The sequence below is a fragment of the Homo sapiens genome, chromosome 18 (genome assembly GCF_000001405.40).
Source record: "Homo sapiens chromosome 18, GRCh38.p14 Primary Assembly".
Classification (NCBI taxonomy): Eukaryota; Metazoa; Chordata; class Mammalia; order Primates; family Hominidae; genus Homo; species Homo sapiens.
Genome location: NC_000018.10, coordinates 21684643 through 21711668, shown reverse-complemented (window position 1 = coordinate 21711668; position 27026 = coordinate 21684643). Strand labels below are relative to the sequence as shown.

General features: G+C 44.5%; 2 protein-coding genes across 7 annotated transcripts in view, besides 4 other annotated features; one reads left to right on the top strand and one right to left on the bottom strand.

Annotated features, from left to right (window-relative positions):
- The window catches only part of MIB1 (MIB E3 ubiquitin protein ligase 1), a 166038-nt gene extending 159285 nt beyond the window's left edge, over positions 1-6753 (bottom strand). The window contains exon 1 of the mRNA XM_047437676.1: positions 6546-6753. The gene's annotated coding sequence lies outside the window, so the exon portion shown is untranslated. The remainder of the gene's footprint in view (positions 1-6545) is intronic.
- Positions 4214-4414: a silencer, noted in NCBI's record as "peak3067 fragment used in MPRA reporter construct". NCBI's record gives its function as "represses an SCP1 promoter by STARR-seq MPRAs in K562 erythroleukemia cells {active_cell/tissue: K562}" and the evidence as "EXISTENCE:reporter gene assay evidence [ECO:0000049][PMID:32103011]".
- Positions 6488-6557: an enhancer, noted in NCBI's record as "active region_13138". NCBI's record gives its function as "activates an Ori minimal core promoter by ATAC-STARR-seq in GM12878 lymphoblastoid cells {active_cell/tissue: GM12878}" and the evidence as "EXISTENCE:reporter gene assay evidence [ECO:0000049][PMID:35858748]".
- Positions 6728-7497: a silencer, noted in NCBI's record as "silent region_9342". NCBI's record gives its function as "represses an Ori minimal core promoter by ATAC-STARR-seq in GM12878 lymphoblastoid cells {active_cell/tissue: GM12878}" and the evidence as "EXISTENCE:reporter gene assay evidence [ECO:0000049][PMID:35858748]".
- Positions 6895-27026, top strand: part of ABHD3 (abhydrolase domain containing 3, phospholipase) — a 53874-nt gene continuing 33742 nt past the window's right edge. For all 6 annotated transcript variants that reach the window (NM_001308256.2, NM_138340.5, XM_047437312.1 and 3 more), the window contains exons 1-3: positions 6895-7165; positions 7922-8085; positions 9171-9353. In NM_001308256.2, coding sequence (NP_001295185.1) covers positions 7004-7165; positions 7922-8085; positions 9171-9353 — 509 coding nt within the window. In that variant the 5' untranslated portion in view covers positions 6895-7003. The remainder of the gene's footprint in view (positions 7166-7921; positions 8086-9170; positions 9354-27026) is intronic.
- Positions 8018-8167: an enhancer, noted in NCBI's record as "active region_13137". NCBI's record gives its function as "activates an Ori minimal core promoter by ATAC-STARR-seq in GM12878 lymphoblastoid cells {active_cell/tissue: GM12878}" and the evidence as "EXISTENCE:reporter gene assay evidence [ECO:0000049][PMID:35858748]".

Below are 27026 nucleotides of genomic sequence, written 5' to 3'. Positions count from 1 at the left end.
ACAAGTCGTGAGCTCTTGTGAGGAAAGTCATCGGCTTTATCCTCTTTAGAGTTAGATTGCTGGGGTGGATATAAAAGATAGGGTCTGGCTGGGCGCAGTGGCTCATGTCTATAATCCCAGCACTTTGGGAGGTCGAGGTGGGCGCATGATTTGAGGTCAGGAGTTCAAGACCAGCCTGGCCAATATGGTGAAACTCATCTCTACTAAAAATACAAAAAGATTAGCCGGGCGTAGTGGCAGGCACCTGTAATCCCAACTACTCAGGAGACTGAGACAGGAGAATTGCTTGAACCCAGGAGACAAAGGTTGCAGTGAGCCAAGATTGCACTACTGCACTCCAGCTTTTGTGACAGAGTGAGACTCCATTTCAAAAAATAAAAATAAAAATAAATAAATAAATAAAATGTGGGGTCTGGAAAATCTTTCTTTCTTAGAAATTTATTTCCTAGTTCTGTAGAAATGGTAGTATTAGGTATTCTCTATCATTTAATAATATACTTGTGGACTAAAAGATATAAGTGCTGTATAAAATCAGCCAATTAGGCCAAGTTCAGTGGCTCACGCCTGTAATCCCAGCACTTTGGGAGGCCGAGGCAGGTGGATCACCTGAGGTCAGGAGTTCAAGACCAGCCTGGCCAACATGGTGAAACCCTGTCTCTACTAAAAATACAAAAATTATCTGGGTATGGTGGCACATGCCTGTAATCCCAGCTACTTGGGAGGCTGATGCAGGAGAATTGCTCGAACCAGGTAGCCAGAGGTCGCAGTGAGCCAAGATCGTGCCACTGCACTCCAGCCTGGCGACAGAGACTCCATCTCAAAAAAAAAAAAAAAAAAAAAATCAGTCAATTATGTTAAACTAGCATATCTATCTTTTTTGTGTTTGTCATTGGCCTGAATAGAAAGGCCTTATATATTTGAGACAAGGTCTCACTCTGTCACCCAGGCTGGAGTGTAGTGGTGTGAATATCCCTCACTGCAGTCTTGAACTCCTGGGCTCAAACGATCCTCCCACCTTAGCCTCCCAAGTAGCTGGGACTACAGGCATGCACTACCACACCTGGCTAATTTTTAAATTTTTTGTAGAAATAAGGTCTCAGTATATTGCCCAGGCTGGTCTCAAACTCCTGGACTAAAGCAATCCTCCCAACTTGGCCTCCCAAAGTGCTGGAATCAGAGGTGTGAGCTACTGCACCTGGGCAAAAATTGATTTTTTGGGGAAAGTATTTGAATGAATTTTGTTTAGTATTGTATTTATCCAATAAAGTATTTCAAGGCCAGGTGCAGTGGCTCACGCCTGTAATCCCAGAACTCTGGAAGGCTCAGGCGGGCGGATCACTTGAGGTCCGGATTTCTAGACCAGCCTGGCCAATATGGTGAAACCGTCTCTACAAAAAATACAAAAATTAGCTGGGCGTGATGGTGCATGCCTGTAATCCCAGTTAACTCGGGAGGCTAAGGCGGAGGTTGCAGTGTGCAAAGACCACACCACTGCACTCCAGCCTGGGCGACAGAGAGAGATTCCATCTCAAAAAAAAAAAAAGAGAATTTCATTAGTTTACAAAAATTAAAAACATAAGCATATTCTAAGCAAGTGTCTTAAAAAATTTTGAAGCAATGATTTCATTTTCTTTGTTTCTTCATCACAAAGGTAATATTTTTAATGTAGCATTGTAATTCCCAAAACAGGTTTTGGAACCACCCAGTCTTTGGTTCAAACCCCACTCATTTGCTATGGAAACTTATTTCACTTGATATTTGCTTCTATCTTCAGACCCTTGCACATGCAGTTCAATCGTCCTATACAAACTCTTCACCTTCATCTCTTCTTATCTAGGTCTTTGCTCACATCTCTGTCAGGAAGTCTTTTCTGATCTTCCCTAGGCTGTTGGATGTGGCTAAGTTGCTCCATTACATGCTTGAGGTAAACATTTGCATTCTTTTTGACTGCCCAGCATCTGAACCTTCATCTGTGTTTGGGGACTTTTCAACAAATGAAGCAGCATGCATGTCCCCCCACAGACACTGAAAATGCCAGATATTTGTTTTCCTACCTCCACAGCTGGGAGGAAGGTGAGATACAACCTAGACTGCACCAGTCAGTTCCATTCACAACAGACTTTGAATAAATAAGGATACAGTGAAATTAAGAAGCAGGGATAATCCATTGTAGTGAGGGGGCAGAAGTGGTAACACCCTGTTTCCAGAGGCAACAGTGTCAGGGATTTAGAACACAGCCTTGTGCCCAGCATAGCTGGTCTGGATGCCAAAAACCATGCAGTGTAGCCGAGAGAGAGCAGGAGTATTGTCATCACAGGACCAGCACCACGACTTTTTTTTTTTTTTTTTTTTTGAGACAGTCTCGCTCTTTCGCCCAGGCCGTAGTGCAGTGGCGTTATCTGGGCTCACTGCAAGCTCCACCTCCTGGGTTCAGGCCATTCTCCTGCCTCAGCCTCCTGAGTAGCTGAGACCACAGGCACCCGCCACTGCACCCAGCTAATTTTTTTTGTATTTTTAGCAGAGACGGGGTTTCACCGTGTTAGCCAGGATTGTCTCGATCTCCTGACCTCGTGATCCGCCCGCCTCGGCCTCCCAAAGTGCTGGGATTACAGGCGTGAGCCACCGCGCCCGGCCTCGCCACGACTTTTAAAGGCATTGTTCCCAACTTCTAAGCCTTGTTCTCTGGCCCTTCTGGAGTTTCATCAGCTATCACATACCATTGTAATAAATTTCCTTTCTGCATATGGTAAGCCCAAATTGACTTTTGCTGTTTGCTACTAAGAACCCTGTGTACCTGCTGCATCTGGAACCATCCCCAGACACCACACTTTTTGTAATGTAACTGCTTACTCCTCTGTTGCCACACTAGACTCTAAGTATTATTATGATTGGATCCTCAGTGCCCTGTAATCACCCAAGAAGACACTGATTGAATGAATGAATTAAACTTTCTGAGCTCTCATTTCCTCATGTATAAATTGGGAATAACAGTTACTTGGTTTTTTGGGTTTTTTCAGGCAGTTTCCCTCTGTCGCCCAGGCTGGAGTGCAGTGGCATGCTCTTGGCTCACTGGAATCTCCGCCTTCCCGGGTTCAAGCAATTCTCCTGTCTCGGCCTCCTGAGTAGCTGGGATTACAAGCACCCACCACCATGCCCAGCTAATTTTCTTGTATTTTTAGGAGAGATGCGGTTTCACGATGTTGGTCAAGCTGGTCTCGAACTCCTGACCTCAAGTGACTCAACTGCATCGGCCTCCCAAAGTGCTGGGATTACAGGCGTGAGCCACTATGCCCAGCCAAAATAGTAGTTCTAAAGAAAGATGGAGAATGTTTTTCTAACAGGAAATAAACTTGGACAACCTCCATCTCAATCATCTCATTTTACAGACAAGGAACTGAGGCCCCCAAAGAGTAAATGATTTGCCTAAGTTTGGTGGATAAGTTCAGAGCTGTTTTTTACTCCTAGGTCAGTACATTTTCTACACACCATGATGGCCATAAAATATTATAGGCATCAATGTTTGTATCCCCCGCCTCCACCTTCACATGTTGGAGCCCTAGCCCCTCAAGGTGATGGTATTAGGAGGCACGGCTTTTGGGATGTAGTTAGGTTTAGGCGAGATAATGAGGACAGGGTCCCTATGATGGAATTGGTGCCTCTAAAAGAGGAGGAAGAGACATCAGAGCTTCCTGAGAAGCCATCTGCAAGGCAAAAGAGGGCCCTCACCAAAACCCAACCACATCGGTACCCTGATCTCAAACTTCCAGCCTCTAGAACAGTGAGAAATACATGTATGTTTAAGTCACCTAGGCTATGGTATTTTGTTATAATGCCCAAGCTCAGACAAACATTTTATTCGATAATACTTTCACTTTAAACTTAAACTGGGCCAGGCACAGTGGCTCATGCCTGTAATCCCCGTGTGTCCAGAATTAGTGGGTTCTTGGTCTCACTGACTTCAAGAATGAAGCCGCGGACCATCGCAGTGAGTGTTACAGTTCTTAAAAGAGGGGCGTCCAGAGTTGGTTCCTTCTGATCTTCGGATGTGTTTGGAGTTTCTTCCTTCTGGTGGGTTCGTGGTCTCCCTGGCTCAGGAGGGAAGCTGCAAACCTTCGCAGTGAGTGTTATAGCTCATAAAGACAGCGTGGACCCAAAGAATGAGCAGCAGCAAGATTTACTGCAAAGAGCAAAAGGACAAAGCTTCCACAACGTGGAAGGCGACCCCAGTAGGTTGCCTCTGCTGGCTCGGGCAGCCTGCTTTTATTCCCTTATCGGCCCCACCCACATCCTGCTGATTGGCCCATTTTACAGAGAGCTGCCTGGTCTGTTTTACAGAGAGCTGACTGGTCCGTTTTGACAGGGTGGTGATTGGTACATTTACAATCGCTGAGCTAGACACAAAATTTCTCCAAGTCCCCACAGAGCACTGATTGGTGCATTTACAAACCTTGAGCTAGACACAGGGTGCTGATTAGTGTGTTTACAAACCTTGAGCTAGACACAGAGTGCTGACTGGTGTATTTACAATCCCTTAGCTAGACATAAAGATTCTCCAAGTCCCCACCAGATTAGCTAGATACAGAGTGCTGATTGGTGCATTTACAAACCTTGAGCTAGACACTGAGTGCTGATTGGTGTATTTACAATCCCTTAGCTAGACATAAAGGTTCTCCAAGTCCCCACTAGACTCAGGAGCCCAGCTGGCTTCACCTAGTGGATCCCACAGGGGAGCCGCAGCTGCCCACCAGTACTGCCCCGTCAGCCCCACACTCCTCAGCCCTTGGGCGGTGGATGGAACCCGGCTTGGCAGAGCAGGGGGCAGCGCTCGTGGGGGAGGCTTGCCCCGCAGGAGCCCACAGTGGGGCGGGGGGTGCGGCTCAGGCATGGCGGGCTGCAGGTCCTGAGCCCTGCCCCGTGGGGAGGCAGCTGAGGCCCAGCAAGAATTCCAGTGCAGCGCTGGCGGGCTGGCACTGCTGGTGGACCCGGGGCACCCTCCACAGCTGCTGGTCTGGGTGCTAAGCCCCTCACTGGCCAGGGCCGGCGGTGCCAGCCGGCGCTCAGAGTGCAGGGCCCGCCGAGCCCACACCCACCCGGAACTCCCGCTGGCCCGTGATCGCGGGGCACAGCAGCCCCGGTTCCCGCCCACGCCTCTCTCTCCACACCTCCCTGCAAGCAGAGGGAGCTGGCTCCGGCCTCAGCCAGCCCAGAGAGGGGCTCCCACAGTGCAGCAGCGGGCTGAAGGGCTCCTCAAACGCGGCCAGAGTGGATGCCCTGGCCTGAGGAGGTGCTGAGAGCGAGCGAGGGCTGCTAGCACGTTGTCACCTCTCACCAGCACTTTGGGAGGCCGAGGCGAGTGGATCAGGAGTTCCAGACCAGCCTGGTCAACATGGTGAAACCCTGTCTCTACTGAAAATACAAGATTAGCTGGGTGTGGTTGTGCATGCCTGTAATCCCAGGTACTCGGGAGGCTGAGGCAGGAGAATCACGTGAACCCGGGAGGTGGAGGTTGCAGTGACCCGAGATCTCGCCATTGCACTCCAGCCTGGGCAACAAGAGCAAAACTCTGTCTCAAAAAACAAAACAAAACAAAACAGAACAAACTTAAACTGAAATACGCATGCATTTATTGGTAGGTAGTGCAGAAGGCTGGTGCAGGGGTTATGAAGAATGCTATGAAGTTTCAAGTATGGCAACCAGCATATGCATTCACGTTTGCTATGTGTGCTCAGGTGTGAGAGCCAGAGCGTGAAAATTACTTCTGCTCACGGGGAGTCCAGTATATACACTATCTTGTCCTCTCGGGAACTCTATAAAGTAGAAATTGTTACGCTACAGATTATTAAAACAAGAAAAAAACAGGCTCAGTAAAGGTAATTGAATTATTTTGGGTGCTGCAGCCAACCACCAAGTTGCAATGACCAAATCGGAGCCAAATAAATTGCTCACTTCTGGTCCGTCTCATGTCCCCATCTAAATTACATCATTAATTTACAATCCTTTGGCATTTTTCATAATCTAGACAGCACTTTCCCTTCTTTCGTCTGTTTAAGTCTTGCCATTCTTCCTACCTCTCTGAGGAAGGAGTTCATAAGAGTAGGAATAGGCTATTAAATTCTAACCATTTCAGATAACCATAAGTATCCTGATTTATCATATTGCCATAAATAAGCCTAGGAGACCCTACTTCATAAATGGTTTCTTGTCTGTACATTAGGTAATCGGTGTGAATTTCCATAAGTCTCTAAATTCAAAGCATTAATGAACCACAAATAGGCTTTTAACAATTGAATCCCGGTTGCTATTCTTGACCTTTTCATTTATTTTCAGAGACCACTTCTCATTTAAGTGACACTTAGCAACTAAAAAGATTCACAGAGTGATTCAGAGTCGAGTATGATGTCCTCACTGTTGAATGCTCATAGAATATTTTTTCTCTTTCCATAGTCTTGAGGACCAACGCAAACGTCTAGAGGATGTGGGATTCTTACCTGCTAACATATCTTTGGCATTAACTCCCCAAATCTTTGAATGCAAGGCACGCTTACCTGACACCCTAAACTGCTAGTTTAGGGACACCCGCCGCAGAGCGGAATCGTTCAAGGTCACTGGGGCTGCAGGTGCGGGGCCTTAACCAGCGCTGCCGATCCGTCAGCTCTCGGCCCACCCTTGGGGATCCCCATCGCCCACTGCGACCTAGCTGGGAGAACCCAGTCCGCCCGCCCTCCCGGTGGCCGGTCTTGGAACCGCGCTTCTGGAAGGTTCCTGAGTGGCTGGCAGTGGGGGCGGCTCCAGGAAGCCGGGGCGGAGCGGGCGGCGTTGGAGTCTCGGGCTACGCCTCCCTGGGCCGCTCCGCCCCGCCCGTTGTCGGAAGCCGCGCTCCGCCAGGCAGGAGACACTGTGGTCGGGAGTAGGCAGCGGCGCCGCGTCCGCTCTCGCCCGCTCTCGCCCGCTCGCCAGCCGGCTCTCCTCCCGCCGCAGGACCCGCGCGCCGCGCTCGGGGGCCATGCAGCGCCTGGCCATGGACCTGCGGATGTTGTCCCGGGAGCTCTCCCTCTACCTGGAACACCAAGTCCGGGTGGGGTTCTTCGGCTCGGGGGTGGGCTTATCCCTTATCCTGGGCTTCAGCGTCGCTTATGCCTTCTACTACCTGAGCAGCATTGCCAAGGTGAGCCGGGGGTGGCGCAGGGCCGCGGGCTGCTGGGCCAGGAGCTAGGGTAGCAGGCGCGGCGCGAGGCTGCGCGGCCAGGGGCGGTCGGCAGCCCCGGGGATAGGCGGCGAGCTGCTCCCGAGCGGCAGCCCCCAGCGCGCGCGGGAAAGCCAACAGGCCCCGCCCGTTCGCCCGCCCCCTGGGGGTCCCGGCCGGGTGGTCCTCGGAGCGCAGCCTGAACCCGGCTGACTTCTGCGCTGCGGCGCTGCCCGGTCACCGATCGCGAAGCCGGCGGCGCACTCGGGAACGCCGTGGCGCTTTTGAAAATGACTCCGGGCAGGGCACGGTGGCTCACGCCTGTAATCTCAGCACTTTGGGAGCCCGAGGCGGGTGGATCACCTGAGGTCAAGAGTTCGAGACCAGCCTGACCAAAATGGTGAAACCCCGTTACAATTACAAAAAATTAGCCGGGCGTGGTGGCGGACGCCTGCAATCCCAGCTACTCGGGAGGCTGAGGCAGGAGAATCCCCTGAACCCGGGAGGCGGAGTTAAAAACAAACAAACTCCCTTATCGCGATTCTCGCCTTCCCCTCGGGGCATTGGCGAAACCCCCGTTTCAGTCCTCTGTGACTGTGAATTTTTTGCGTCAGCCCTCCAGAAAGAGTTGTAATCGGAGGAAGCGCGCGCGCGAGCGACAAGTCTTTGCCGGTTTCTGGTTTACGGTTGGCAGAAACTTTGCTCTGGGCCCTTCTCTGATACTGCTTTTCCCTTCAGAAACCCCAGTTAGTGACCGGGGGTGAGAGTTTCAGCCGCTTCCTTCAAGACCACTGTCCCGTGGTTACAGAAACGTACTACCCGACGGTCTGGTGCTGGGAGGGTCGAGGACAGACCCTGCTTAGACCTTTCATCACTTCGAAGCCCCCGGTGCAGTACAGGAAGTAAGTGAATTTCCGTTTTCAGTCATTTCTGCAAAATCACAGGTTGTTTGTTTGCTTGCTTGCTTATTCCCAGTTCTTGGTTAATAGAATCTGCTTTAGGAAGTATATAGAACAGAAAGAGGGAATGAAAATGGAAGGTACGTCCCCGGCTCCACCCCCAGCTGCAGGAAAATACCCCAGCTGCAGGTATTTGCCTCCTGGTCCCCGCCCTAACCGCCAACCTGATGTAAATGGTTTATTTTTAGGATGAGAGAAGTGTTTGGGGATTACTGTCTCGCAGTTTGTCATACATCTGTCAGAAAGACCCAGATCTTTTGATGATCTGCATTCATTCATTGATAAGTAGCAGATACTGGGGGGGGGGGTGGGGTGAGAAGGATGCCACTTAATTTGGGTTTTGGGCGATTTATTGGTGTAAAATGACTTCCTATTGACAGGCAAATGGGATCTTGATGATAATAGCTCTTGATGTGTTAAAGATACGGTCCAGGATTTATCAGGAACCAGATTTAAATGGTGCCTGTTATTAATTTCCCTTAGTCATCTATCCTTCTGGAGTTTATTTTGTTGCCTGGAACTTGCACTGTTTGTTTGGGAAAATTCTGTAAGTTCATGAATACTATGTGAGAAATAATTTAAATTATTTCAGAAGAAAATCTTGAAGTATACTATACAAGGAGACTGCATTATTGAGTCCAAAGAGCTAGAGCAGTGGTCAGAGATTAGATCAGCATTTTACTTACTCAGACTTCCCTGTCGCATTAGTTGAGTGACCTCAATCAAACAAGGGTTAAATGCTGGATGTTTTGGAGTAATGAGTAAGTATTCATTTATCTTAATAATTAGCAGTTCATTTTTATATACGACCTTGTACGGAGGTTGCTGGAAATACTTGATGGTACTAATCTTCATAAAATCCTTCTAATGAAAGAAAATGATATGTAGATCGAGATATGGGTGTGTGTTCGTGAATGCTGGAAAAATGTTATTTTTTGATGAGCAAATAATGTCATGTGTTTAGAATTAAAATTAAGACATGACTTAAAACATGTAAATAGTAATGTCTTCTGAATTATTCCTTTCAGTGAACTTATTAAAACTGCAGATGGAGGACAGATTTCACTGGACTGGTTTGATAATGATAACAGTACGTGTTATATGGATGCCAGCACCAGACCTACTATCTTATTGTTGCCTGGCCTCACGGGAACAAGCAAGGAGTCATATATCCTTCATATGATCCATCTTAGTGAAGAATTAGGATACAGGTACCAGTAAAAGATTTCTTTTTTTTCACTTGATCCATTCCAAATGAAGTACAAATATATCTACATGTTTGTTTCAGAAATACTTAGTACTTCTTGCATAGAAAAGCAGTCCCTTAAATTATTATTTTTCTCTGCATTCTTTTTTTCCTCTTTCTTTTCAGGAAGATGCATAACTGAATCATCTCACAAGAAATGTCACTTAGCATAGTAGACACTCTGCAGATTTAGGCTGAGTTAATGAATGAAATTAGAATCATCTGAGCATTGACTGAGCCCTTCCCCCCATCCCCACCCCAATGGAGAGTGTGTTATGGAGGGAGAACAGCAATTACAGACCCCTGAGAGAGTACACAGTGGCCGTCATGCCACATTCTGGGGCCTGGATTCACTAATCTTGTCGCCCTGGCTCAGCTCCCAAGTGCAAAAAATATTCAGAATCAGCTTGTAGGTTGTCCCTATTTATCAAAGGTGATCTCTGCCTCTTCTGACCACCTGAGTTTGCAGGTGCACTTGGCTAGTCTCCAGTTGTTGATGCCACAGCTTTTCTGAGTAACCATTATTAAGCTCAGTCACCAGGTACAATTTAATTTTTTGCAAGTGATTAGCAACTTTGAGTTTCAAGTTCAGCTCTAGAATCTTAGAGTCATTATAAAAGGTACTGCTTTTTTGTGCCTCAGCTTTTTTTTTTAGCTGATAATTATTGTAATGGAACACTCTGTGAGTTGTATTTAAAGTAGAGTTGTATCTTTTGTTAAACTTGAAACACTTGTGTGAAAAGCTGATGGTAAGTTTACCTTAAAAAAATAATTTTAGGCTGGTCACAGTGGCTCATGCCTGTAATCCCAGCACTTTGGAAGGCGTAAAGCCGGTGGATTGCTTGAGCCCAGGAGTTCGAGACCAGCCTGGGCAACATGGTGAGACCTAGTCTACAAAAATTAGCAGGGCATGGTGGCATGCACCTATAGTTCCAGCTACTGACAAGGCTGAGGTAGGACGATCAGTTGAGCCCGGGAGGTAGAGACTGTAGTGAACCATGATCGTGCCACTGGACTCCAGCCTGGATGACAGAGTGACACCTTGGGCAAAAAGAAAAAAAAAAAAAAGGAAAGAAGAACATTTTGATGTTTGATGTAAAGGGGAAAATTCCATGATAGCTAACTTAATTTTAACAAGTTAATTCTGATCTTTTATAAATAATAGCCTATTTTGTCCATGAAGTAACATTCTCTCAAGAACTATGATGTTCAAGAATTATATTCAAGAAATTTGCTTAGCAGTAGCAGGAATTCATCATTATTCCATGTTTAAGCACCATACAGTTAGATGTGAGGCTTGGTTCCTTTTTTTTTTTTTTTTTTTTTTTGAGGCCAAATCTGGCTCTGTTGCCCAGCATGGAGCGCAGTGGCATGATCATGGTTCACTGCAGTCTCTTACAGGCGTGAGTTAATGCTCCCAGCCTGGTTCCATTTTTTTTTTTTTTTTTTTTTTGGCTAAAACTTAGTCATGCTCAGAAAGTACAGAAGATCATAATGCCTTTTGTACATATTTAAATTACTGCTTCTAGATTTGGCCTGAGCTGTCTCTCAAGACTTAGAACTGCTTTTAAAAACAACGTGGGCCAGGTGCAGTGGCTGACGCCTGTAATAACAGCACTTTGGGAGGCCGAGGCAGGTGGATCACTTGAGGTCAGGAGTTCAAGACCAACTTGGCCAACATGGTGAAACCTCGTCTCTACTAAAAAATACAAAAATTAGCCAGGTGTGATGGTGGGCACCTGTAATCCCAGCTACTCAGGAGGCTGAGGCAGGAGAATTGCTTGAACCTGGGAGGCAGAGGGTGCAGTGAGCCAAGATTGTGCCATTGCACTCCAGCCTGGGCAATAAGAGCAAAACTCCGTCTCAAAAAAAATAAAAACAAAAAAATTTGGGCCAGGTACAGTGGCTCACGCCTGTAATCCCAGCACTTTGGGAGGTCAAGGCGGACAGATCACAAGGTCAGGAGTTCGAGACCAGCCTGACCAACATGGTGAAACCCTGTTTCTACTAAAAATACAAAAAAATTAGACAGGTGTGGTGGCACATGCTTGTAATCCCAGTTATTCGGGAGGCTGAGGCAGGAGAATTGCTTGAACCTGGGAGGCAGAGGTTGCAGTGAGCCAAGATGGCACCACTGCACTCCAGCCTGGGCGACAGAGCGAGACTCTGTCTCAAAAAAATAAATAAATAAAAATAAATAAATAAAAACAATGTGGTTGAAACTCAAGGACTGAGTCTTATAAGCTCTGGAGTTGCCAGTGCACATACCTTTTGTCCATTGCTTATAAAGGTTGCCAGATTTTAGCCGGGTGCAGTGGCTCACAGCTGTAATCCCAGCACTCATCCACAGGCTGAGGCATGCGGATCACAAGGTCAGGAGTTCGAGACTAGCCTGGCCAACATAGCGAAACCCCATCTGTACTAAAAATACAAAAATTAGCCAGGCATGGCAGCGCGTGCCTATAATCCCAGTTACTCGGGAGGCTGAGGGAGAATCGCTTAAACCCGGGAGGCGGAGGTTGCAGTGAGCCAAGATTGCGCAATTGCACTCCAGCCTGGGCAACAAGAGCGAAACTCTATCTCACAGACACACACACAAAATTACAAAAGCAGAAGCTGCAGGGCCTCTTGAGGCCCAGGCTGAGAACTCCCACAGTGCTACTGGTCAAAGCAAGTCACATGATCAGCCCAGAGTCAAAGTGTAGGGAAATAGACTCTGCCTCTTGATAGGAAGAGCTTCAAAATATTTTTGCAACCTACCACAGAAAGCCAGGTAGTTTTAAAGACCACTAAGAATAAAAATAGATCTGGAAGTTTGGCGCAAGGCTGAGTTGAGTCTTTAGGTACCAAAATGATCTAAGTCATTGGTACTGTAGCATGGGATCTAGCAGATAACAGGGTTTGTGAAAAGCTGTGTAATATGACGGAATGTGTTTGGGCTTTGGAATCAAGCTGGATTCAAATGTTCGAACTGCCACTTTCTAAGGGACCCTGGCCAGTTAATTTAAGTTCCCTCATCACAGCGTTCTCATCTACTTCACAGGGTTTAGTTAGAGTGTGTAAAGTAGGCCAGGTGTGGTCGCCCATGCCTGTAATCCCAACACTTTGGGAGGCTGAGGTGGGTGGATCACTTGAGGTTAGGAGTTCGAAACCAGCCTGGTCAACGTGGTGAAACCCTGTTAACCAGGCATAGTGGTGTGCGCCTGTAATCCCAGCTACTCAGGAATCTTAAGACACGAGAATCGCTTGAACTTGGGTAGTGGAGGTTGCAGTGAGCTGAGATCGTGCCACTACACTCCAGTCTAGGAGACAAAGCAAGGCTCCATCTCAAAAAAAAAAAAGTGTAAAGTACTTGGTTGGGTGCCCTGCACAAAGTGGGTCTTTAGAAAATGTTTATGTCAGCCAGGCACAGTGGCTGACGCCTGTAATCCCAGCAGTCTGGGAGGCCAAGGTGGGTGGATCACCTGAGGTCAGGAGTTGAAGACCAGCCTGGCCCACATGGCGAAACCCCATCTACACTAAAAATACAGAGAAAAATTAGCTGGATGTGGTGGTGGACACCTGTCATCCCAGCTACTTGGGAGGCTGAGGCAGAAGAACTGCTTGAACCTGGGAGGCAGAGGTTGCAGTGGGCCGAGATGGTTGAACCCGGGAGACAGAGGTTGCAGTGAGGTACTGCACTCCAGCTTGGGTGACAGAGCAAGACTCTGTCTTAAAAAAAGAAAAAAAAGAAAATGTTTATGTCTTACTTCCCTCATCATCTATTCCCTGGCCAGGGTAGAAAATGTTTTATAGGCCGGGTGTGGTGGCTCAAGCCTGTAATCCCAGCATTCTGGGAGGCCGACGTGGGCAGATCCCCTCAGGTCAGGAGTTGAAGACCAGCCTGGCCAACATGGTGAAACCCCGTCTCTACTAAAACTACAAAAACTTAGCTGGACGTGGTGGCGGGTGCCTGTAATCCCAGCAACTTGGGAGACTGAGGCAGGAGAATCGCTTGAACCCAGGAGGCGGAGGTTGCAGTGAGCTGAGATCGCACCATTGCACTCCAGGCTGGGCGACAGAGCAAAACTCCATCTCAAAAAAAAAAAAGAAAATGTTTTATAATTCAAAAGAATGAGTACAAGCAAATCTACCTCTTGGGATAGAGAAACATGTAGTTTCCTTGTGGGAGTATATAGATGTTACCATGTCTGCTATAGATGAGAGTTTCAGTATCTTCAGTATGAACATCCCTGAGGCGCAGGGTGCACTTGCCATCCTGTCCCAGTTACTATTTGTGTAAAGGTTGAAGGTTTAGGGAGAGTCATGAATTATGTCAGGTCACCAGGGAACTGTCAATGATTTACTGGTGAGATACGAGATATGATTTAGACATTAGAGAGAACCTAACTCCCAGCGTATGGTCAAAGGAGACATAATGGTTTATTGTTGATGTTAAACCATTGTTTTTTCCCCTCTACCTGAAAACTAACAAAGTACTTTTCTGTTAAGGTGCACTAATTCAAAATTCAGGATGGATGGGATGGAAACTAGGCTTAAGTTTGTTTAAGATAATTGTGAGCAAACGCTTTACTATGTAAGTCAAAGGTAAATAGAATGAGGCTAGGCATGGTGGCTCTGGCCTCTTATCCCAGCACCTTGGGAGGCCGAGGCGGGTGGATCACTTGAGGTCAGGAGTTTGAGACCAGCCTGGCCAACATGGCGAAACCTTGTTTCTACTAAAAATACAAACAATTAGCCGGGCATCATGGCATGCACCTGTAATTCCAGCTACTTGGGAGGCTGAGGCAGGAGAATCGCTTGAACTCGGGAGGTGGAGGTTGCAGTGAGTCAAGATCATGCCACTGCACTCCAGCCTGGGCAACAGAGTGAGACTCTGTCTCAGTTTTTTTAAAAAAAGGATAAATAGGCTGGGCACGGTAGCTCACGCCTATAATCCCAGCACTTCGGGAGTCCGAGGTGGGCTGATCACGAGGTCAGGAGTTCAAGACCAGCCTTGCCAATATGGTGACACCCCCTCTCTACTAAAATACAAAAATTAGCCAGGTATGGTGGTGCGTGCCTGTAGTCCCAGCTACTCAGGAGGCTGAGGCAGAAGAATCACTTGAACCTGGGTTGTGGAGGTTGCAGTAATCCGAGATCGCACCACTGCACTCCAGCCAGGGCGACAGAGTGAGACTCTGGCTCAAAAAAAAAAAAAAAAAAAGTTAATAGAATGAGATGGGAAATGTTTGGCCTGCCTACATGAAGATAACCTGTCCATCTTCACTGGTGGATTGAGTATGTACTCTTTTGGATAGTTCCTGCCCGCAAGAGGAGAAAGTTGCTAAGCCAGATAAATTCTTTCAGATTTTATTAATCAGTTATGTCTACCACCTCCTGGAAGGTAAATAAAATAAGAGAGGCCAGGAATGCCAGGTGCAGTGGCTTATTCCTATAATCCCAGCACTTTGGAAGGCTAAGGCAGGAGGATTGCTTGAGCCCAAGAGTTTGAGACCATCCTGGACCACATAGTGAGACCCCCCATTTCTACCAAAAAAAAACCAAAACTAAATAATAACAATGAATAATAATAATAAAAGACCAGAAATATGTTTAGAGAGAAGCCCTCTTCATGGAAACCAGAAAGCTGGAGAAAAGGCAGTTTTCTCTAACAATTTATACCTATATGATTGATAAAGTAGTTAGAAACTTTACCATTCATTCCAAAAAATCTCCAGTAATATAGCCTAATAGGTATTATTTTATGTACATTAATAATATCTTGTTTTCTTAAATCCTTTTACCATTTTCTGAATTGATTTCCAGTACTACAACAAAAACAAGGAGAAAGGCCAGGCACGGTGGCTCACGCCTGTAATCCCAGCACTTTGGGAAGCCAAGGCAGGCGGATCACAAGGTTAGGAGAGTGAGACCATCCTAGCTAACACGGTGAAACCCTGTCTCTACTAAAAATATTTTTTAAAAAAACTAGCCGGGCGTGTTGGCAGGTGCCTGTAGTCCCAGCTACTTGAGAGGTTGAGGCAGGAGAATGTCGTGAACCCGGGAGGCAGAGCTTGCAGTGAGCCGAGATCGCGCCACTGCACTCCAGTCTGGGCAACAGAGCAAGACTCCATCTCAAAAAAAAAAAAAAACAAGGAGAAAAACAGTAACTCCAACAAAATCTGAATCATCTTTTGACTTTTTAAAATTGAGAGCCATTATTACTAGGGGGGAAGAAAAAGAAAAAAATTTAAAATTTAAAAAAATAAAACCGAGAGCCTTCATTTACCATTGTATTCCACCCCCAACTAATATTAACAAGAATGACCCATCCAGAATTATACAGTTGTAAGTTCATTGAAATCTAGGTCAGTCATAAGTATTTTGGGGCTGCAAAGTACAATATCAGAACCTATTCCCAAAGAGCATACAGTCTAGTTGAAGTGGCAAAGACTGTGCAGCAGCAGCAGGGAAATGTACATCAGAAAGGAGCAAGATTGGCTGTAAGTGACAAAAAACTCAAAATAGTAGTGACGGTATAAACTTATTTCTCTCATGTAAAAATCTAAGAAGGTAGATCACGGCTTGTATGGCACATGTCAGTGTCAGGAACCTAAGCTGCTTTTATTCTTAGGTTGGTGCAAAAGTAATTGTGGTTTTTGCCATTAAAAGTAATGGCAAATTTAATGCCATTAAAAGTAATGGCAAAAATAAAAGTAATTTGCCATTATGTTTAATGACAAAAACCCCAATTACTTTTGCACCAACCTAACATGTTGCTTCATAACATGGATGCTTCAGCAGTAGCCATCACATCTGCATTCTAACACCCAAGAAGGAGAAAAAAAGCAGGAATAGGAAAGGTACCATCTTCCTTTAAAGATGCAGCCCAGCAATTGTGCACACCACTTTTGCTTGTATCACATTGGCCCGCTCTTGGCTGCAAGGGAAGCTTGAAAATTAAATCTTGGCCATGCATGATGGCTCACGCCTATAATCCCAGCACTTTGGGAGGCTAAGGCAGGCGGATCACTTGAGGACAAGAGTTCGAAACCAGCCTGGCCAACATGGTGAAACCCCATCTCTACTAAAAATACAAAAACTTTAGCCTGGTGGCGGGTGCCTGTAATCCCAGCTACTTGGGAGGCTGAGGCAGGAGAATCGCTTGAACCCAGGAGGCGGAGGTTGCAGTGAGTTGAGATTGCTCCATTGCACTCCAGCCTGGATGACAAGAGCGAGACTCCATCTCAAAAAAAAAAGAAAATCATATCTTTATTTTGGACAGCCATGTCCCAATTAAAATTGGGAGTTCTGTTGCTGAGGAAGAAGGGAAGGATGGATATTGGGAGATGACTAGCAGCTCGTGCCGCTGAGTAGTCAAGAGTTGGCAGTACTGGGATTCAGAAATATCAGAAGAGCCAAAAGGGTCATTTTATGGAGGGAAGGAGTAGATCAGCGGTGTCACATACAACTTAAAGGAGAAGGAGGATGAATAAAGCAAAACATGAGAATCTCAGTAGAGCGATGAGGAAGGAAGCCAAACTGCTGGATAGATGACCTCAGTAGACAGAGCAGGAATGGATCACCCATTCGATGAGTTTGACAGAGAAAGGAGAGAAACAGGACAGTTGTTAGAAGAGGGCAAAAGGATCACTCGAGGGATTTTTGCAAGATTGTAAACTTGTGTTTTAAGACATTTCTTACTGTCTTGTTACTTTATTTCCTACTTAGAGAAAAAACTAATTTTTTGGTATGGTTTGACAGAATTAGGATCTCTTATTCTTCATTGCAGAGCCCACCTACTGGTAGCAAGGATGTCACCGTTCATCATTTATATTCTTGAGAGACTCAGTGTAGGAGATTATTTAAAAGTTGTTAAAATTTGCTTCTAAATGTGGTACTGGCTGGGCACAGTGGCTCACGCCTGTAATCCCAGCACTTTGGGAGGCCAAGGCCGGCGGATCGCTTGACGTCAGGAGTTCGAGACCAGCCTGACCAACATGGTGAAACCCCATCCCTACTAAAAAATACAAAAATTAGCCAGGTATGGTGGCCCCCACCTATAATCCCAGCTACTCGAGGGGCTCACTGCAACCCAGGAGGCAGAGGTTGCAGTGAGCCGAGATTGTGCCACTGCACTACAGCCTGGGTGACAGAGCGAGACTTAGTCTCAAAAAAAATAAAAATAAATTTTAAAAAAAAATGTGATCCTGAGAATATTTTATGTAGAGGAAGTAGCAAGTAAATGTCATTTGAAGTTATCATAGCTCTAGATGCAATTTAGCTTTTCCTGCAGCATTAGAGGTGCCTTGGTGGGGGACAGGGGTGGAGAGTCTAGCTACAGACTTCCTGAGGGAGGAGAGATGAGAGAGGCTGAACTAAGGAAAACGAGACAGCAAAACAAAAGGGTTAGTTCTGACCACGCTTTCCCTCATCTAAAAGCAATGTCTTAGATAAGAAATCATTTTAAATTAACACCAGAATATTTTTTTCTCAGTAACTCATTTTGTTGTTGTTAAAATAATTTGGTTTTTAAACTTTTGGGAATAAGGCAGTTAACTGATCATTTGTGAGACTAGCCAGATTGAGTAATGCATGTTAGAAAGCACTGAATGAAGAGGTTAGCTTCTTTCTTGGTATTCCAGAAAAAGTTATGGTGGAGACTGACAAGTGGTCCCATTCTCTAGGGCACTAATTGTTAGCTGTTCCACTGCAACATGGCACCTCAATTAAACCTTCAGGGACAAAGCTCTTTTTATCAGAGTTGGCATGCCCTCAAAGGGTACTCTGTGTTCAGAGCACCCGTCTTCTTTGGAAAAAGAGACCTGAGTGTTACAGCTTAGGTAGTGCTGGGCAGTGAAGTGAGGTGGTTAAGTGGATTCTTGAGTCGGATCTGCCTGGGTTCAGATCCTAACTCTGTCATACACTACCTGCCTACCCACAGACAAATTATGTCATTGCTCAGCACCTGTTTTCTCATCTGTAACAATACCTAGACCTCACAGGGTTGTGTGGATTGCGTGTAATGTGTATAAAGAATGTTGACTAGTACAGGGCCTATGGCAAACATTTTGTTAAGTGTTAGCTATGAAACCTTAAGAAGTGAATTAGGACCATTGTATGGCTTAGGAAAGAGCCCCACTGTTGTAATCTGGTCAGATTAAAATGAGATACTGCCTACGCCTTACTGTTATTAATACGAAGAAGATGCCACTCCAAGAGAGCCCAGAGACAACAGTGTGCCTGGCAAGCCAAAGGGTAGTACAGAGAGAAGGAAGGAAATGTCTTGCTAAGGTAGAGTGGCCGCTGGAATCGACATTGTCCTGTAATCCATGTCTCTGAGTTTGTTTTGGGTAATATAGTTTCCAGCAGTGACTTGTGACACTGGAGTAACAACTGTTACTTACAAGCACTATAAATTTAGAGCACTTTGCTTATTAAATAGGGCCAGTTCAACTGGGTGTTTTATTGACAAAATCTGCAAAAATACCAAAGAGACACAGCTAGAAATCAAATGAGTGAAATGAAATATGAGAACATCAGAAAGCAGCTGAGTAAATTTTAGGATCACAGCTAAAGCAGAGAAGGGAAACGACTGCAATAAAATAGAATAAGATCACTGGAAGAATTAGCCATGCTGGTTGTATCATTCGTTTCCAGCTTCCTCACGTTAAAGACACCTTTGACTCTTTTCCCTTGTGCCCACTGGTTTTGAAATATACCTAAAAAATAAACTGCATTAATTAAATATTAACTTGCTATTCTTTTTTTAAAAAAATTCATAGGGCCGCTTAGAACTTATGATCAGCAAGAAATAACCAGAATTGCCACTTTGGTTGGTTACAATTAAATTCAGCTTTGCTGAGTGCCTGCCACATGATAGGCCCCATGCCAGGCATTATATATAGGTTATCCTACTTAGTATATATCCAGTTCAAGATACATATTATAAACCCCATTTTACCAAACAAAAAGCAGAAATTACTAACAAAAGTTAGTAATTTGATCAAAATTAGCTGGTGTGTGACAGGGTTAAGATTGAAATGTAGGGCCGGGTGCGGTGGCTCACGCCTATAATCCCAGCACTTTGGGAGGCTGAGGCAGGTGGATCACCTGAGGTCAGGAGTTCGAGACCAGCCTGGCCGACATGGTGAAACCCCGTCACTACTAAAAATACGAAAATTAGCCGAGTGTGGTGGTGGACGCCTGTAATCCCAGCTAGTTGGGAGGCTAAGGCAAAAGAACCGTTTGAACCTGGGAGACAGGTTGCAGTGAGCTGAGATTGCACCATTGCATTCCAGCCTGGGCAACAAGAGCAAAACTCCGTCTTAAAAAAGAAAAGATTGGAATGTACAGGCTTATTACAGATAAACATATGATTTCTGTGAGGCTTTTTGAAATGTTGATAGTTCCTGAAAACCCTTCTTTACTACTATTTTATACCCTTGGATGCCTTAGGCTCTTAGCTTGGGAAAATCTAGCTCTTCCAATCCCATGATTGTTGCTTAATATGATAATGCATACCTGTGATATCATTGGGACTCAGTTTTATCAGGGAAATTCAAGACATGACAGGCAAATAAATCATGTTTCCTACTCAGATAATAGATTTTATAGGGAAAGAGTTGAAACGGGAGATAATGAGGTTCCTGAATTATGAATTGACTTTCAGTGTTCTCCATTACCATATGATAATCATGAGTTAGGCATGTAATAGTGAATAATATACTCACATTAATTACTGCGTTTGATTTCTGAAGCATCTTAGAAAAAGGTACGTGAATTATGTTCATTTGTTTTACCACCTTTATGACCTTAGTAAGCTTGGAAATGTTTAGATAGCATCATTTCTTGAAAAGAATGTGTATTCTCTTGTTGGATGTGGTGTTCTGTACATTTAAATTTGGTTACTATTGATAATGTTTTTCAGACTATAGCTCACTTTTATCTTTTATCGATAGAAGCATTTTAAAATATAGTTGTAGATTTTGTGTTTCTCCATTTAATTCTATTAATTTTGCTTCATGTATACGGAAGCTCTGTTAGACACATACACATTTAAGATTGTTAGTCTTCCTATGAATTAACTTTTTATCATCATGAAATGTTCTTCTTGACCTCTTGTCATGAAGTTTGCTTTACCTGATATTATCATAGCCACTTCGTTCTTTTTTTGCTGAGTGTTTGTGTGATATATCTTTATTTACACTTTAACTTTCAGAGTATCTATGTCATTGTATTTAAAGTGTATTGTAGATAGCATGTAGTTAGATCTTGCTCTTTTTTTTTTTTTTTTTTTTTTGAGACAGAGTCTCACTGTTGTCGACCTGGGCTGGAGTACAATGGCATGATCTCGGCTCACTGCAACCTCCTTCTCCCAGGTTCCAGCAGTTCTCCTGCCTCAGCCTCCCAAGTAGCTGAGATTACAGGCACCCACCACCACACCAGGCTAATTTTTGTACTTTTAGTAGAGACGGGGTTTCACCATGTTGGCCAGGCTGGTTTCAAACTCCTGACCTCAGGTGATCCACCTGCCTCGGCCTCCCAAAGTGCTGGGATTACAGGCATGAGCCACTGTGCCCAACCAGATCTTGCTTTTTTTTAAATCCTGTCTGACAATCTCCATCTTTTAATTGAGGTTCTTATTCATTTACATTTAATGTAATTGTTAATGTGGTGGATTTTTTTGTTTTGTTTTTGAGACAGTCTTGCTCTGTCGCCCAGGCTGGAGTGCAGTGGCATGATCTCGACTCACTGCAAGCTCCGCCTCCTGGGTTCAAGCGATTCTCCTGCCTCAACCTCCTGAGTACCTGGGATTACAGGCACCTGCCACCACGCCTGGCTAATTTTTGTATTTTTAGTAGAGATGGGGTTTCACCATGTTGGCCAGGCTGGTTTCAAACTCCTGACCTCAAGTGATTTGCCTGCCCCGGCCTCCCGAAGTGCTGTAATTACAGGGGTGAGTCACCGTGCCCACAATTACATGTATGTTGTTTTTTTTTTATATTGTTTCACAAATCACTGAGGTTCTACTTTTTTTGGACCTTTTTCCTCTTATCCTATGTTCGAGCTGCAATTTGCAAATCCAGTGAATTTTTTATTTCAGATTTTATATTTTTTTCTAGAATTTCCATTTTAATAAATTTTATTATGCTGAGATTTTCTTTTTTTTTTTTAAATTCTTTACAAGCTCCCCCACCCCACCACCCTTAATGTCCTTGAGTTATAGTAGCTACTGTAAAACTTCATCTGCTAGTTCTAACATCTGGACAATCTCGGGACCAGTTAGGTTATCTCTTGAGTGTGGGTCATGTTTTCCTGTTTCTTCATGGTCTAGCAATTTGGGGTTGTGTTCTGGACAGTTTGAGTGATCCATTGTAGAGACTCTGGATTCTGTTATACTTTTGCAAAGAGTGTTGCTTTTTGTTTGCTTTATTAGATAGTTAACTTGGCTGCACTCAAACTTCAAACTCTCTCTCCTCTGTTGTAAATTGCAGTTGAAATCTTTGTCCAGTTTTTTAGCCTTAATTGGGTTGCTTGTAGTGTGTTTCACATATGTATAGATGAGGGATCAACTAGAGATTTGGGCCCAGCTTTTAGTCAGAATTTACTGCTCTTTCTCTGTGTATCCATTCTAAGATTTTTTTCTGCTTGTTTTTCAACTTCTATTGTTGCCCCAAACTGTTTTAATAGTTCTTCAAGCCTGTGAGACTGAGCATTTCCCTTTTTTTTTTTTTTTTTTTTTTTTTGAGACCAGATTTCACCCTTGTTGCCCAGTCTGGAGTGCAATGGTGTGATCTTGGCTCACTGCAAACTCCGCCTCCCGGATTCAAGCAATTCTCCTGCTTCAGCCTCCCAAGTAGCTGGGATTACAGGTGCCTGCCACCACGCATGGCTAATTTTTGTATTTTTAGTAGAGACAGTGTTTCACTACGTTGGCCAGGCTGGTCTCGAACTCCTGACCTCAGGTGATCCACCCACCTTGGCTTCCCAAAGGGCTGAGATTACAGGCATGAGCACTGTGCCCAGCCAAGAGACTGCGCATTTCTATCCAACTTTTATTTATCATTGAGTAATACCCAACTACTGCCTTCCCTCAGGTAAAAAAAGGAGAAGCTGTAAAAATTGAAAACTCACCCAGTATGATTTTCATTTTCCTAGTGTCAACTCCCATTCAGTTTCTGCATGCTTTTTGTTGTCATTGTTGTTCTCTACTGCCTTTATATTTTTTCAAGAATGTATAGTTATTATTCCATGGAAAGTTTGGCCCTAAAGGATCTACCTGGACATTACTAGAGGCAGAACTTCCTTATCTTTTCTTTACCTGGAATTCAGAGCCTTATGTTTATTTTTGTCCTAACCTGTTTTTCCATTCTTATTTTCTATTGTTACTGTCCGTGTAACCACTTCTCAACTGATAATTGATTTTTCGTCCCTTAGAACATTTAATACATACTCACCTTATATCTTTGCTTGGATTACTCCCTTTACAATGTATCTCACACTTGCCTTTTGCTGGAATCTTTACTGTTTTTCAAGTCCTAACATAAGATCTGTCTACCTTTTATGAAGCCTTTCTTAATCAATTTTGCCCATCCTGACCTCATAGGGTTTTATTGTCTATACCACTCCTTGGACATTGAATCCTATACTGTCTTGTTTTTTGTTGTAGTCACTCAACTGAAAATATGGTGCAAATCTTTTCAATCTAACTAGATTGTACCCTCCTTGAGGCCAGGAACCTTATGTTGATACTTTATTTCTCTACTACAGGCTCTAACTCAATCTTTAGTTCAGTAAATATTATTGAATGAATAAATGAGTTATTCCAATATTAATATTCATGTAAAGTGCTTAGAACATGATCTGGCACATAGTAAACACTAGTAAACAGTATCTGTTGTTATTATTATTACCTGAAATCAATCATATGACTAGCTGATCTCTGAATGTTCCTCTCATTCTACCCTTTGCTGATTATCATTTCTATTGTTAGACTTGAAGATTTGGGGAATCTTAGAACTGAAATATTTCAGATTGCCTGATAAAATTACAGATTTGGAAACTAGGCCTAGACAGGTACTCACAACCCATGGAAGTTTCACTGCTTTTCTTAGGTGCCCAAGCTCAGAGTCTGCTACTTTTTTTGTTGTTTTTGTTTTTTGAGACAGGCTCTCCATCACCCAGGCCGGAGTGCATTGGTGTGATCACAGCACTGCAACCTTGACTTCCAGGGTTCAAGCCTGAGCAGATTCAAGGTTCTCTGGTCCATCTCACTGTGACAGTGGTTCTCATCCTAGGGGCCGTTTTTCCCCCAGGGAACATTTGGCAATGTCTGGAGACATTTTTGGTTGTTATGCCTGGGGCATGTGCTACTGGCATCTAGTTGGTAGAGGCCAGAGATGCTGCTGAGTATCCTATAATGCACAGGACAGCACTGCTACAAAGAATTATTTGGGCTGAAATGTCCATAGTACTAAAGATTGAGAAACTCTGTGCTATAGGTAGTCTCTTCCTTTTATTTAACCTTCATTAAAGGACACCCACCTGTTTCCCTGGTTAATGGGTTATCTTGTCACAGAAAGTTCTTCTTACCAGATCTGTTCTTTATTTGATATTTCTTCTCTTTATGTTTTCCTTGTTTTGAGGGAAAAAAATTATATAGTTCAAATATGTAGGAAAAATATGCTTTGCAGAACAATTTCCCTCATATACACGCCCTTTAGAATTGTTTGAGGTAACTGTAAAAATTAATTGGAGAGAACTGTTACAGAAGTTTAACAGAGGCGGCTGGGTGTGGTGGCTCACGCCTGTAATCCCAGCACTTTAGGAGGCCAAGGCAGGTGGATCACGAGGTCAGGAAATCGAGACCGTCCTGGCTAACACGGTGAAACCCTGTCGCTACTAAAAAAAATACAAAAAATTAGCCTGGCGTGGTGGTAGGCACCTGTAGTCCCAGCTACTCGGGAGGCTGAGGCAGGAGAATGGCTTGAACCCAGGAGGCGGAGCTTGCAGTGAGCCGAGATTGCGCCACTGCACTCCAGCAGGGGCAACAGAGCAAGACTCTGTCTCAAAAAAAAATAAAAACAGGCTGGGCACAGTGGCTCATACCTGTAATCCCAGAACTTCAGGAGGCCAAGACGAGAGGATTGTTTTGAGCTCACAAGCTCAAGACCAGCCTGGGCAACATAGGGAGACCCCGTCTCTACAAAAAGTTTAAAAATTAGCCAGGCATGGTGGCATGCCCCTGTAGTCCCAGCTACTCGGGAGGCTGAGAATCACATGAGCCCAGGAGGTTGAGGCTGCAGTGAGCCGTGATTGTGTCACTGCACTCCAGCCTGGGCAACAGTGAGACCTTATCTCTAAAGAAAAAAAGAAGAAGAGGTTAACAGATTTTTCAATGCCTTAGGAATAGTAGTTTCACAGCCAGCCCTTTTAGTTCAGTGTTCCCTGATGACTGTCAGAGTAGCAAAGGGGTTAAATGAAAAGAGCTGGTTGCTCATCCCCAGCTGGAGTGGGAGAAAGGGCAGGATGGCAGCCTTCTTTCTGCCGTCCTCTGTAACTGCTTTGCTTCCTCATTCTTCCTTATCTCTCTGCCCCACGTCCAAGGCTTTAAGTATACAATGATGACTGCTACTGATTGAACACTGTTAGGATCAAAGCCTTATGGAGTGGTGAGTACAATTCGTCCTCTAGCAAGAGCTACCAGAACTATGATCCACTTTCCAAAGTTGCCTGAAGGAAAGTGCAAATATCCCACTCTGCAGTTTAGAAGAAAATCCCAGATGTACAGGCTGCTTTTTCATGAGTTTGCAGATCATCTTTTTCTTTCCCGTCACTAGTGTTCTTGCCTTCTCTCACTGGCAGTCACATGATGACATCTTGCTCCAGAAGCCATTTTAATCCTTATTTAATGTTTGTACTCTAAAGTGGTTCTTTTCTGAATGACTGGGAGCTTCAAGTTTCAAGATCATAATTAACTTTAGCACCGGTTCCTGTGTGACTTAAGTGCTTATGCAAGTAAATACAAATGGCCAACTGAAATCTTATTTATATCAAGATATCTTGCCATTGTTTTTAGCAAGAAAAGATAAAGGAGTCACTGAGACTACTCTGACTTTTCTGTATGTATTTACAGTTTATTTAAGATTTCTCTGGCCAGGCACAGTGGCTCATGCCTGTAATCCCAGCATTTGGGAGGCCAAGGCAGGAGGATCACTTGAGCCCAGGAGTTAGAGACCAACCTGGGCAACATGGTGAGATCCTGTTTTTACAAATAACTTATAAAAATTAGCCAGGCTGGCCGGGCACGGTGGCTCACGCCTGTAATCCCAACACTTTGAGAGGCCGAGGCAGACAGACCACTTGAGATTAGGAGTTTTAGAACGATCTGACTAACATGGGGAAACCCCATCTCTACTAAAAGTACAAAAATTAGCCGGGCGTGGTGGCACGTGCCTGTTATCCCAGCTACTCAGGAGGCTGAGGCAGGAGAATCACTTGAATCTGGGAGATGGAGGTTGCATTGAGCCGAGATCATGTCACTGCACTCCAGTGTGGGTGATAGAGCGAGACTCTGTCTCAAAAAAAAAAGAATAAAAATTAGCTGAGCCGTGTTGGTGTGCACCTGTGGTCCCAGCTACTCAGCAGGCTGAGGCAGGAGAATTGCCTGAGCATGAGAGGCTGAGGCTGCAGTGAACTGTGACCGCGCCACCGCACTCCAGCCTGAGTTGCAGAGTGAGACCATGGTCTCAAAAAACAAAAAGATTTATCTTAGGTGAGTTAATAAAATGTAATATTTCTAGCTTTTTCTCAAATAGGATTTCTGAGGTTTCTAAACATTTCTCTTCTTTCAACTGGGCCTAATAAAATTTTCTATATGGCTTTTCAGTTGCAAGAAAATTCCTTTGCAAGAACATAGCCTGCATACCACATTAAATGAAGCTGGTGTGCCTTGAGATCTAAACTCCCTGAGAAGAGACTCAGAGTTGTGTATGTTCTATACAGCAGTAGGTTCTTTGTTGCTTAGAACCTGTACAGTGCTCAGCAGCACCCTGCAAGAAGAGATTTGGAATCTTAAATGGCCTTGGTTGGTTGAATAGGTAATCAGACAAAAACTAAATGAATTTTAATTGTTATGAATATAGACTCACTAAATCAGTGAGAACCTGTGTAGACACAAATCAAGATTTTGTCTAAGGATGGTAAAAATACATATCTGGGCCTGTGGCTGCCTGAAAGTTAAATGAGAGTTACATATTTTAAATACTGAATAACTTTTGAAACCAGCACGACACTACAACTACCATTATTACTAATAGCTAACTTTCACCGAGTACTTACTTGAGCCAACATTGATCTAAACCCTTTACATTGATCTGAGCCCATTTACCCAGCAGATGCAAACAGGATCAGAGAAAGCACAAGGTCATCTTTCCTCCCTAGGTCAACTGAACACTAAGCAGTAGCATAATGGGGCCCATCCCACCAGCTCAGGTGCCAGGCTCTTTGTGGCTCACCTGTGATGTTTACACCTCATGTAAAATTCTGGTGTCCATGTTTGCTGAGCCTTAAGAGAACAAGAGCTGTTTCTTAGAATATAAATAGATACGTATGAATGTTACAAATGCAATGGGTAGAGGATATATATTTTTTC